Source organism: Homo sapiens, chromosome 12 (assembly GCF_000001405.40).
Source record: "Homo sapiens chromosome 12, GRCh38.p14 Primary Assembly".
In the NCBI taxonomy this organism is placed as follows: Eukaryota; Metazoa; Chordata; class Mammalia; order Primates; family Hominidae; genus Homo; species Homo sapiens.
The window spans coordinates 51,010,041-51,023,461 of record NC_000012.12 but is presented as its reverse complement, the minus strand read 5'-3'; the positions used below and the strand labels follow the sequence as shown (position 1 = coordinate 51,023,461).

The window sequence follows — 13,421 nt, the reverse complement described above, 5'->3', positions numbered from 1 at the left end:
TATTTTTATATTTTTGAGACAGGGTCTCGCTCTCTTGCCCAGGCTGGAGTGCAGTGGTTCAGTCTTGGTTCACTGCAACCTCCACATTCCAGGCTTAAGCGATCCTCCCACTAGAGCCTCCTGAGTTGCTGGGACTACAGGCTTGCGCCACCATGCTCAGCTAATTTTTAATTTTTTTGTAGAGTTGAGTTCTCACTATATTGCCCAGGCTGGTCTTGAACTCCTAGGTTCAAGCAATCTTCCTGCCTTGGCCTCCCAAAGTGCTGGGATTACAGGCATGAGCCACTGCGCCCAGCCTTGCCATTTATTCTTTTTATAATTTAACAAATATTTATGGAGCAATTTACATTAATTGGCCCCTTGAGACACAAAGAAGAGCCTTCAAGGCATCATCAGGAATATTCTAGATACAATAAAATGACATGTATATAATAAGGTATATTTTAATGAAATCATAATGGAATATAAAACAATTGGCCAGCAATGATCAAAATGGCCTAACTTCTCTTCCACTTTTAATTTCAGGTTAAAGTAATTTATATTTTTTGGCATAAGGAACAAATTAGGGTTTTTAGTCTTGTTTTGGTGCTTATTGCCGATAAGTCATTTTGTGTCAGGTTTGTGTTTGTTTTGGTCTCATCTCTACTAAGCTGATAGCTGTTAAAACTCCTAGGAAATGAAAGAAGAAAGCTACAAGTTAATTATTAAAACTTTACCAGGTTTCAAAGAGCAGAAAGAGGCTTGTTAAAGGCTGGAGAATCTTGTAGTATATATTGTCTTAATTTTTCTTTGCTTTTAGGAAAAGAAACTTGGAGGACAATATTTACTTAAAGTTGTTAAGGTCAATCTACATCATTTGGGAGCCAATATCCATCATTAGGAAAAATGGGTTGAATGTAATCTAATGAAAATTCTTCATATTTGCCAGAGAAAAGCTACTTAAGTGTGAGGACAAAACATATTTTCTGAGGCAAGAAGTAGGTATAGGCTGGTTTAATAGGGGATTTTTTTTTTTTTTTTTTTGGAAAAAAGTAATTTTTTTTTTTTTTTAATGGAGACTGGGTTTCTTGCTATGTTGCCCAGGCTGGTCTCAAGCTTTTGGGCTCACGCAATCCTCCCGCCTCAGCCTCCCAAAGTGCTAAGGGATTACAGATGTGAGCCACCATGGCCAGTCTAATAGGGAATTTTCTTATTCCAATAGAAAGGGGTCTTTGAAATTGTTCACAGAGCTTGGCATTGTGTTCCATGATAGAGGTGTCAGATCAGGAGGCCAGGTTTGTCCCCCAAAAGGAAACACACTGCTGTAAACTTCTGGTTAGGAGGAAGTTTAGAGGAAGCTCACACAGAGTTGGGAAGAACAAAGACGAAGCTATAGTCACTGGAAGTAAGACTTTAGTGACCCTGACTTGTGAGCATTCAGGGAGATTTGGAAGCTGGTTAAGCCTCAAGAGTGCTGATGGGAGAAGGTGAAGAGTTGTATTTAATGGGTACCAGCCCCTTCTAATTCTGATGTCTCTGGTTGATGTGTGATATTTTTGTTTAAAAGATAAGTACTCCTTGACAGCCTGGCCACATTTCTCCCAACTGTTATCGTTTTTGACACCCAGGCAGCTGGTTTCATTATCAGCTGTACTCTTCCTCCTTACATCTTCCTCCCCCCTCCTCTTCTTGCTTCCTAACATTTTCTCCACTTTCTCTTTTTCTTTTTTCTTTATCTTAAGATGGTCTCAATGTCAGGTTTTTCATTCAACTACAAAACACTTAAAAGTCCAGCTCAGGTGAGAAACAGCAAACTTGGTGTTGAGTTGAAGTTGTGGTTGTCTTTTTTTTTTTTTGAGACAGGGTCTCACTATGTCACCCAGGCTGGAGAGCAGTGGTGTGATCTCAGCTCACCGCAACCTCTGCCTCCCAGGCTCAAGCGATTCTCCTGCCTCAGCCTCCCAAGTAGCTGGGATTACAGGCACGTGCCACTACTGCCTGGCTAATTATTGTATTTTTAGTAGAGATGGGGTTTTGCCATGTTGGCAAGGCTGGTCTTGAACTCCTGACCTCAAATGATCCACCTGCCTCTGCCTCCCAAAGTGCTGGCATTATGGGTGTGAGCCACCGCGCCTGGCCCGAAATTGTGGTTTTGTAAGTTAAATAGGATGTCTCCAATTTTGAGATTATTACTAGGGCATGCAAAGTATGGTTTGGTGTCTGTAGGGGATTGGTTCCAGGACCTCACTCACATGCATACCAAAATCCTGGGATGATGCTTAAGTCCCTATAAAATGGTGTAGTATTTGCATTTAACTTATGTACATCGTCCCATGTACTTAAAATCACCTCTAGATTAGTTATATCAATTATAATCCCCCTCTTTTTCTTCTAGACAGGGTCTCGCTTTGTCATCCAGCCTGGAGCGTAGTGGTGCAATCATGGTTCGCTGCAGCTTTGACTTCCTGGGCTCAAGGGATCCTCCCACCTTAGCCTCCTGAGTAGTTGGGACTACAGGAGTGTGGCCATCACACATGGCTAATTCTTAAATTTTTTGTAGAGACAATGTCTCACTATGTCGCCCAGGCTGGTCTCAAATTTCTGGGCTGCCTCAGCCTCCCAAAGTGCTGGGATTACAGGTGTGAGCAACTGCACTGGGTCTATAATACTTAATACAATGTAATTGCTATGTAAATAATTGTTCTGTATTGTTTAGGGAATAATACCAAGAAAAAAATGGTGTATATGTTCAGTACAGGCACAAGCAACCGTTTTTTCCCCCAAATCTTTTTGATCTGCAGTTGTTTGAAACCACAAATGTGGAACCCAGGGTTACAGAGGCCTGACTGTATCTCAGTGGCCATTATGCCAGAGAGAGAGAGAGAGACTGGTTCATGTTAAGCGCATTGTATAATAGCAGCTCTGTTTGTACTTTATAAACTGAGTGTGTTTGTGTGGCTTTTGGTTGAAGACATTCTAATATTACCCACTTGAGTAGAGGGGATTAGAGTTTTGAGGCCTTTTTCTAAAATGAATACTTACCACAGGGGCTTTTCACTGTTTACCATGAAGTACACATAATCAGTCTTCAACCTGACTTTTTTTTTCTGTGTATCATTTTATATCAAATTCATTTTAATAAGAGGAAAACAGGATAAACTTACTCCAGTGTAAAAAATAATACCTCACTTGAGCCCAGGAGTTTGAGACCAGCCTGAGTAACATAGCAAGACCCCACCTTTACAAAAAAAAAAAAAAGCCAGCTGTGGTGGTACGTGCCTGTAGTCTCAGCTACTTGGGAACTTGGGAGGCTGAGGTGGGAGGATCACTTGAGCCTGGGATTGTGCAACTGCACTGTAGCCTGGGAGGCTAGAAATATGTAAATAATTGTTCTGTAAGACCCTGTCTCAAAAAATAAAATAAAAAACAATACCAGACTTTATACCTTCAAGAACAATTTGGAAATTCACATGTCTATTCTAAGCTGTTTCTTTCCCCACACCTCGAATGGGAGCAGATTGAGTTTTAGAACTAATTGGGCTGGGCATGGTAGCTCATACCTGTAATCCCAGCACTTTGGAAGGCTGAGGTGGATGGATCCTTTGACCCCAGGAGTTCAAGACCAGCCTGGGCAACATGGTGAAACCATGTCTCTACAACAAATACAAAAATTGGCAGGGCATGGCACACGCCTCTAGTCCCAGCTACTTGGGAGGCTGAGGCGGGAGGATCACTTGAGCCCAGGAGGTTGAAGCTACAGTGAGCTGAGACCACGCCACTGCACTCCAGCCTGGGTGACAGAGCAAGACACTATCTCAAAAAAAAAAAAAAAAAAAAAGTTGGATGGATATTTTTGATAGACTCAGAAAATGCTGCTTCTTCATGACCTAGAATGGAAAAATAGAGGGAGAGTAATAATCTCTTATTTTAAAAAAGTGATTAATAACCTTCCTCATTAAAATACATAGGGTTCAGAAAATAATTAGCTCTGTTTGAGCTGCTAGAATATTTCAGAAAGTTTTGTTGACTGTCAGTCATCCAAATGGCAGGAGCCCACCTTCATGAAGAGCACCTGGTACAACAAGGTGTTGTGTTAATAATACAGTAATGGTTTAGTAGAACTGTCAAGTACTTTGGCCTTGAAGTAGACCATTAGGGAAAAGAGAATTTTAGAAGAATCTAGAAACCTTTTCATTTTCTTTAGGACAAATATAATTTTTTTAAAAAATGAGAATTCTTTGTTATTCTCTAATAAACACTTTGGGTGTCGCTAAGCCTTGATCTGTGCACCTAGCAGTTTCTCTTTTGTCACTAGCATGTCTCTGGCACTGAACAGTGCCTGAGGAAGAATGAACTGAACAGTGTCAAGAGGAAGAGGTGGCTTTGCCATGTAGCTTGAACGCATTCTTGCTAGCATTTATTTCATCAGTTACTTCCATGAAGACACCTTTCTGGCTGCTTCTATGAAAGTTTTTTCCTATTTAATGTTGTCTTTGATTTTATTGAGATGAGGAAGGTGATGAAAAAAAAGGAGGAAAGAATTAAGGGACTGTATTTAAAAACATTCCTCTCTAAACCTACAATTAATTTTAGGGAGACCTTTTCAGCTGTAAGACTAGTGAAATGGTTTTGAGTACCTTTATTCTCTATAGGGGAATTTTATATGAAAACGAATTATTTCAAACCCAAACTATTTATTTATTTATTTATTTGTTTATGACAGACAGGGTCTTGCTCTGTAGCCCAGGCTGGGGTGCCCTGATCACGGCTCACTGCAGCCACAACCTCCCAGGCTCAAGCAGTCTGCCCACCTCAGTCTCCCAAGTAGCACGCACTACCACACCCAGCTAATTTTTGTATATTTTTTGTAGGGATGGGGTTTTGCCCTGTTGCCCAGGCTGGCATTGAACTCTGCTCGCCTTGGCCTTCCAAAATGCTAGGATTACAGGCTTGAGCCACCGCACTCGGCCCAAACTTTTGTTTTAACCGTAGATTAAAAAAAAAAAAGTTGAAGTTGTATATATTAATACTCAGTATTTCAAACTTTCTTAGGGGCAGTTTTCTGTTTTGTGTTTTTTGTTTTTTTTTTGAGATGGGGTCTTGCTTGGTTGCCCAGGCTGGAGTGCAGTGGCATGATCTCGGCTCACTGCAACCTCCACTTCCCAGGTTCAAGCGTTTCTCCTGCCTCAGCCTCCCAATAGCTGGGATTACAGGCACCCACAACCACGCCCGGCTAATTTTTGTATTTTTAGTAGAGACGGGGTTTTGTCATGTTGGCCAGGCTGGTCTCGACCTCCTGACCTCAAGTGATCCACCCACCTTGGCTTCCCAAAGTGCTGGGATTACAGGTGTGAACCACCCCACCCAGCCAGGGGCAGTTTTTAAAACAGGTTTGGGCTATCCAAATTGTTCTTCCAGAGTTCTTATAAATGCTAAGAGAATATACAGAATTACTGTTAATTAGATGTTAGAATTTATTATAGCTAGTATGTGTTTTGGGGGGTAACTTAATTTTCATATAATTTCAAACTTGCAGAAAAGTTGTAAGAGTAGTACCAGGGAATGGACAATTTTCAAGAAAATGACAGTGGTAAGCAGTGGGTGCCTTGAGGGAACACGGAGAAGCCACTTAAGCCAAATTAGGGAGTCAGGAATGCTTTCCTGAGAGGGGATTTTTAATATTTTGCATTTAGGTGGCACTAAGACAAACTAGTAGTAAGTTAGGCTGAAGGCAATAAATACCTGCCAATTAGACAGCTGTAGACTTCTGATTATCTATTGCAGAAGCTTTATCAGAGAGTTCAACTGAACATCCCTAAAATGTTTGTTGAGAAGCTGAGTGAATCTATATGACCTTGACATTTTTTATAAGGCAAATAATACATGTATCTGGTAAAACTTCTTTTTATGTGCAAAAGGTATACAGTGTATATTCAGTGAGAGGTTTTCCCTTCACATGACCTCATTTGGGCTCTCCTACTCCTTCCTTCTCTCAGGGATGGCCTTTATTACCAGTTTTTGGTGTGTCCTTTGGAGATTGTACGTGTACGTGTGTGTTTTCTCTTTTTTCTTTTTGCTACATACATGATAGCATGCTGCTCAACAAATTGGTCTTTTGACTTGACAACATGTAATATTTTAGAGATTGTATCCTATCTATACATGATAGATCGTCTTATTTATAGTGGTTGCATGGTATTCTGTCCAATGAATGTGCACAGTTTATTCAACCAGTCCTCTACTAATATCAAGGTTGTTTACAGTCTTTTCATACTACAAACAATGCTGTGGGAAATATCCTTGTACATATTTCCTTGATGAGTACTTTTTGCTTTTTTTTTTTAAAGAATACATTTTTAGGAGTAAAATTGCTAGATCAAAGAATATGTAGACTTTTGAAATTTTAGACAGAAAATAAAATTTTGTTAGCATTTTTATCTTGTAAAACAGTCTTACAACACTTTTTTTTTGAGACAGGGTCTTGCTTTGTCACCCAGGCTGGAATGCAGTGGCCTGATCAACACTCACTGCAGCCTTGACCTCCCAGACTCAGGTGATCCTCCCACCTTAGCCTCCCGGGACTACAGACGCCCACCACCACACCCAACTAATTTTTTTTTTTTTTTTTTTTTTTTGAGACAGAGTTTTGCTCTTGTCACCCAGGCTGGAGTGCAGTGGCGCGATCTCGGCTTATTGCAACCTCCGCCTCCCAGGTTCAAGCAATTCTCCTGCCTCAGCCTCCCCAGTAGCTGGGATTACAGGTGTTCACCACCACACCCGGCTAACTTTTTTTTTTTTTTTGAGATGGAGTCTCCCCCTGCCACCCAGGCTGGAGTGCAATGGTGCGATCTCAACCCACTGCAACCTCTGCCTCTCAGGTTCCAGTGAATCTCCTGCCTCAGCCTCCTGAGTAGCTGGGATTACAGGCATGCGCCACTACACTGGCTAATTTTTTGTATCTTAAGTAAAGATGGGGTCTCACCATGTTGGCCAGGCTGGTCTCAAGCTCTCGACCTCACGATCTGCCCGCCTCAGCCTCCCAAAGTGCTGGGATTACAGGCGTGAGCCACTGCACCTAGCTTTAATTTTTGTATTATTAGTAGAGATGGGGTTTCACCATATTGGCCAGGCTGGTCTCGAACTCCTGACCTCAGGTGATCTACCTGCCTCAGCCTCCGAAAGTGCTGGGATTACAGGTGTGAGCCACCGTGTCCGGCCTCCACCTAGCTAATTTTTGTATATTTTGTAGAGATGGGGTTTCTCTATGTTGCCCAGGCTGGTCTTGAACTCCTGGGCTTAAGCAATCTGCCTGCCTTGGCCTCCCGAAGTGTTAGGATTACAGGCATGAGCCACTACAGCCAGCCAGTCTTACAACTTTTGTTAGAGAATGGGATAAAATAGGCTGGGCATGGTGGCTCACGCCTGTAATCCCAGCACTTTGGGAGGCTGAGGTGGGCAGATCACAAGGTCAGGAGATCGAGACCATCCTGGCCAACACGGTGAAACCCCGTCTTTACTAAAAATACAAAAATTAGCCGGGCATGGTGGCATGCGCCTGTAATCCCAGCTACTAGGGAGGCTGAGGCAGGAGAATGGGATAAAATAGTCATATTACATTTAACCATGAGTGCCATTTTTTTTCTGTCAATTGCTGTTCGATAGGAAGAAACTTAATGGGTTTAAGAGAAGGTGACACTTTATGGTTAGGGGTAAGCTGGAATATCAAAGCAATGTTAATCATAATTGTGATGGTTACTTATCAAAGTATTGCTGGGTTGATTCTAGTTGTTTGTGTCCTAACTCTGGATCTTTTCCTTAATGTGACGAAGTAACTGAAACAACCTGGTGCTACAGCCCTGGAGAGCAAAACTGTCTTAATATTAACTTACTGCTTCCATATGGGTCATAAATTTTCATGGAGACTTGAATGCTGTGCATAACTGGCCTGGCCCTTTCTATTCCTCCCTAGTTTTTTTTTTTTTTAACTATTTAATTATTTATTTTTTATAAGATGGAGTCTTGCTCTGTTGCCCAGGCTGGAGTGCAGTGGCGCAATCTCAGCTCACTGCAACCTCCACCTCCCAGGTTTAAGCGATTCTCCCGCCTCAGCCTCCTGAGTAGCTGGGATTACAGGCATGCACCATGATGCCTGGCTAATTTTGTATTTTTAGTAGAGGCAGGGTTTCTCCATGTTGGTCAGGCTTGTCTTGAACTCCCGACCTCAGGTGATCCGCCTGCCTCAGCCTCCCAAAGTGCTGGGATTACAGGTGTGAGCCACTGCGCCCGGCCCCTCCCTAGTTTTATTAATTTTTTTTTTTTTAATGAGACGGAGTCTTGCTCTGTTGCCCAGGCTGGAGTGCAGTGGTGCAATATTGGCTCACCGCAACCTCCACCTCCCGGGTTCAAGCGATTCTCCCGCTTTAGCGTTCCGAGTAGCTGGGATTACAGGCATGCGCCACCACGCTGGCTAACTTTTGTATTTTTAGTAGAGATGGGGTTTCACCATGTTGGCCAGGCTGGTCTCGAACTCCTGACCTCAGGTGATCTGCCTGCCTCAGCCTCCCGAAGTGATGAGATTACAGGCGTGAGCCACCACGCCTGACCTCTTTTATTTTATTTTATTTTATTTTGAGACAGAGTTTTACTCTGTCGCCCAGGCTGGAGTTCAGTGGCATGATCTCGGCTCACTGCAACCTCTACCTCCTGGGTTCAAACGATTCTCCTGCTTCTGCCACCCTAGTAGTTGGAATTACAGGCACCTACCACCACGCCTGGCTAATGTTTGTATTTTTAGTAGAGACGGGGTTTCACCCATGTTGGCCAGGCTGGTATTGAATTTCTGACCTCAGGTGATCCGCCCACTTCAGCCTCCCAAAGTGGTGGGATTAGAGACGTGAGCCACCGCCTCCGGCCCCAAGTTTTATTCTGTAGGCACTGTAATGAAACATGTAGTTTGTTGACTAAAAGCTTTGTTGAAAAGGCTGGAGACTGGAATCTAGAATTTGTTTTCTTTCTTGAAATAATTCATTCTTGAGATTTCAGATAGAAGACGAAACTTTTTGTATTTGAACGGCTCTGTATGTACTTGGTATAGGAATGAACTTAGAATATCACTAATAATTATTTAAAATTTTATCATGAAATATTTCTGTCTAAAAATATTTGCAGACTACAGTCCTGGGAAGATCACGCTATTACCTTAATTGTTTGCTTTTAAAATATAACTTAAAAGCCTATTTTGGTGCTTGCTTCGGCAGCACGTATACTAAATTGGAACAATCAAGAGAAGATTAGCATGGCCTCTCTGCACAAGGATGACACGCAAATTTGTGAAGTGTTCCATATTAAAAGAAAAATTTTTGTCCAGGGGCAGTGGCTCATGCCTGTAATCCCAGCACTTTGGGAGGCCGTGGTGGGTGGATCACCTGAGGTCAGGAGTTTCAGACCAGCCTGGCCAACATGGCAAAACCCCATCTCTACTAAAAATAGAAAAATTAGCTGGGTGTGGTGGCACGTGCCTGTAATCCCAGCTACTCGGGAGGCTGAGGTAGGAGAATCGCTTGAACCCGGGAGGCGGAGGTTGCAGTGAGCCAAGATCGCACCACTACACTCCAGCCTGAGTGACGGAGTGAGACTCCATCTCAAAAAAAAATAAAAACTTTTAAGGCCTGTTTTGCCTATTCTGGATAAAAATCTTCCTCAGATGTAGACGAGACATTTCTGTGTCTTCTTTTTCTTCTTTTTTAGACAAGGCCTCGCTGTGTCACCCAGGCTGGAGTGCAGTGGTGCGATCATGGCTCACCGCAGCCTTGACCCCAGGGCTCAAGCAGTTCTCCTAGTTCAGTCTCCCAAGTAGCTGGCACCACAGACATGCACTACCACGCCCAGGTGATTTTCCAGTGCCTTAAACAGTGCCCAGCTGATTTTCCAGTGCCTTAATGATATTAATCATCATTACAAAAGTGATTTACAGCCTGGCCAACATGATGAAACCCTGTCTGTACTGAAAAAAAAAAATACAAAAATTAGCCGGGCTCGGTGGTGGGCGCCTGTAATCCTAGCTACTTCGGAGGCTGAGGCAGGAGAATCACTTGAACCTAGGAAGCAGAGGTTGTAGCGAGCTGAGATCATGCCATTGCACTCCAGCCTAGGTGACAAGAGTGAAACTCTGTCTCAAAAAAAAAAAAAAAAAAGCAATTTAATTCATTCAGCTCATTTTGATCAGGGCCACAATTGGAAACTTGAGTTATTATACTTGCAGTAATATTCTCAGAACTGATTGACGCATAAGGAAGGACTGTTTGCCTCATATCAAATAGCCCAAGACTAATTGATGTACTTGAGTTTTTTGATTCCTCAGTGTGCCAAGTTCCTCTTTTCCTGGAAGAGCTATGCATAGTTCCAGATCTGATTTGTGGTTTCCAATTTATTGTGGGTTAAGACAATCTGATAACATTAGTTTGTTACAATTATATGTAAAACAAAAGTAAAAAGGCTTTGCCGGGAACGTCGGGGCTGTGCTGTGATTGGAATCCAAGTGAGTACTGCTACTCTGAGTGGTCAAATATTTAAATCCCATTTAGGTGAGGTGCTATTGTCATTGACTGAAAGAGGGGTTGAATTTAGTCAGTATTATTGGGGGCTGTTGGCTGATGTTTAGTCATCTGGTGGCTTAAAACCTGACAGGAGACACATGGCTAGTTGTCCGTTGTAATATAATACTTGGCATTGGTGACTCTAGAGAGGAAGGATTATGTTTTCCAAATTAGCAGGTGGTGGTATATATGCCCCAGAAGACAGATGAAACCTAAAAAGAAAAGAAAAGCTCCTTTCTGGTCTGAATTCTGTAATTCTATAAGTACAGAATATGTTGGTAGATAGAAAGATTACCCAAAACCTGAAACAGCAAGTAGAAGATTGTTCATGTAGGAACAACATATAAGGGACAAGGGTGGAAAAAAGACTAGATTTAAGCAGTAAAAGATCATTAAGCGAGGCTTCATCACTTCTTCAGTAGGACAGTTATTATTGGGATTCAAAGAGGGGCTTATCAATGAATACTATGTTGTCCTTCCCCTTCTAAATTTGAAATCAACTGAGAAGTAGATAAGAAGATTGAAACATTTTTTTTTTAATAGCCTTATTGGTAAGGCTCAATGGAGAATATGCCATAGATCTGTTCCCAAGTGAGCTTGCTAAAATCCTCCCTCCCAATTAAACTTAACAGGATGATGGACATCTGGAACTTCCACCCCACCCCTGACTCCACCCGCCCCACTGCGGGTTGCTTAGTACAGGACCTGTAGACAAAGGCTGGCATCCCACACGCTATGCTTAATCCTGCTGGTGCTTCAGCTCTCTTGGAGAGCTTGGGAGGGGCTGGGCCACGGGTGACTAGTTTCTTCTAGTTGTCAGAGGGTTGAGGAATGAGGTCTAGAACATTATGGCTGCAGACTTTACTTTCTTAGGAAGATTTGAGGCTGCCAAATAGTGGCCTTCCACTACCAGTATGCTTGTATGGTGCTTTTTCCTACCCTTTCTAGAAGATTGAACCATGAGCTTAAATTACATATTTTAGACCAAAGAGAATTACAGATTTCTGTCCTTAAAAACTCATAAAATAGGCTGGGCGTGGTGGCTCATGCCTGTAATCCCAGCACTTTGGGAAGTGGGGTGGGCGGATCATGAGGTCAGGACTTTGAGACCAGCGTGGCCAACATGGTCAAACCGTGTCTCTACTAAAAATACAAAAATTAGCCAGGCATGGTGGCACACGCCTGTAATCTCAGCTATTCTGGAGGCTGAGGCAGGGGAATCGCTTGAACCCAGGAGGCAGAGGTTGCAGCGAGCTGAGATCGTGCCACTGCACTCCAGCCTGGACAACAGAGTGAGACTCCGTCTAAAAAAACTAAAAAAAAAACAAAAAAAAACAACTCATAAAATAGGGGGAAATGTGTCTGGCTTTAGACACTTGGGATAATTTGGAGGCAAAGGCAGAGAATGGATACTTGCCTAGCAGCCTCTGTGTAGATGCTTATTAAAAAAGTATTTGCCTGGCCAGGTGCGTTGGCTCATGCCTATAATCCCAGCACTATGGGAGGCTGAGGCGGGCGGATCACGAGGTCAGCAGATCGAGACCATCCTGGCTAACACGGTGAAACCCTGTCTCTACTAAAAATACAAAAAATTGGCTGGGCGTGGTGGCGGGCACCTGTAATCCCAGCTACTCGGGAGGCTGAGGCAGGAGAATCACTTGAACCCAGGAGGCAGAGGTTGCAGTGAGCTGAGATTGCACCACTGCACTCCAGCCTGGGCGACAGAGCAAGACTCCGACTCAAAGACTCAAAAAAAAAAAAAATGGTATTTGCTGTCTCACTAAAATACCTCCTGTTCAATTTGTCCACCACCCCCTGCCATCCGTGAAGGGTTTCACAGTGAAAGCCAGAAAGCCTGCTAGACACATTCTAAAAGAGCTGTAACACTTCAATTTGGTTTTGAAGTCTTGCCAGCAAAATCTTGACTAAGACTTTTCTTTTTTTGTTAAATATCTGTCAGTCATATTCTGAAAACTGTAATTATTTTCAAGGTTACCTAATTCAGTAGAAAAATTACTCTTTTCATAGTAAGGATTCAGTCATACAGAGTAACAAACTGCTGGTTCTGAACTTGTTAGTTTGTTCTTCCTAATTCTTCTCCCTCACTTTTCTCCTTTCCAGAATCATATTCTAAGAACTCAGCCACTCAGGTATCCACCATGGTGCTGGGTCCTGAACAGAAGATGTCAGATGGTAATTTACCGCTTTGTGTTATTGTCTAATTTTATTTGTAATTAGGTTTATGTTGGTAACAGAAATTTATCATATTTTTCCTCTTGTCATCATCTGTCATCATCTATTCTAACAACTCCATTCAAAAGTCACCATCTGGTGACTTAGGCTGTAAATGAAAATGGATTTTTTTTTTTTTTTTGAGGTGGAGTCTCTGTCACCCAGGTTGGAGTGCAGTGGCACAATCTCGGCTCACTGCAACCTCCGCCTCATGGGTTCAAGTGATGCTCCTGCTTCAGCCTCCCGAGTAGCTGTGACTAAAGGCACACGCCACAATGCCCGGCTAATTTTTGTATTTTTAGTAGAGACAGGGTTTCGCCATGTTGGCCAGGCTGTTCGCAAATGCCTGACCTCAAGTGATCCGCCCGTCTCAGCCTCCCAAAGTGCTGGGATTACAAGCATGAGCTACCGCGCCCATCCTGAAAACAGAATGTTTTTTTTTTGTTTGTTTGTTTGGTTTTTTTTTTGAGGCGGAGTTTTGCTCTAGTTGCCCAGGCTAGTTAGTGTTCAGTGGCACTGTGTCGGCTCACTGCAACCTCCGCCTCCCCGGTTCAATGGATTCTCCTGCCTCAGCATCACGAGCACCTGGGATTACAGGCACCTGCCGCCACGCCC

General features: G+C 42.9%; 1 protein-coding gene and 2 pseudogenes across 32 annotated transcripts in view; 2 read left to right on the top strand and 1 right to left on the bottom strand.

Annotated features, from left to right (window-relative positions):
* The window catches only part of SLC11A2 (solute carrier family 11 member 2), a 76,624-nt gene that overhangs the window by 5,425 nt on the left and 57,778 nt on the right, over nucleotides 1-13,421 (top strand). For all 32 annotated transcript variants that reach the window (XR_001748720.2, XR_007063077.1, XR_007063078.1 and 29 more), the window contains one exon: nucleotides 12,696-12,767. Coding sequence is in view for 17 of the 32 variants with exons in the window: in XM_047428887.1 (XP_047284843.1) it covers nucleotides 12,696-12,767 (72 nt within the window). In the remaining 15 variants the exon portion in view is untranslated. The remainder of the gene's footprint in view (nucleotides 1-12,695; nucleotides 12,768-13,421) is intronic.
* RNU6-87P (RNA, U6 small nuclear 87, pseudogene) lies at nucleotides 9,221-9,328 on the top strand (annotated as a pseudogene).
* Nucleotides 12,405-12,463, bottom strand: RNU7-39P (RNA, U7 small nuclear 39 pseudogene; annotated as a pseudogene).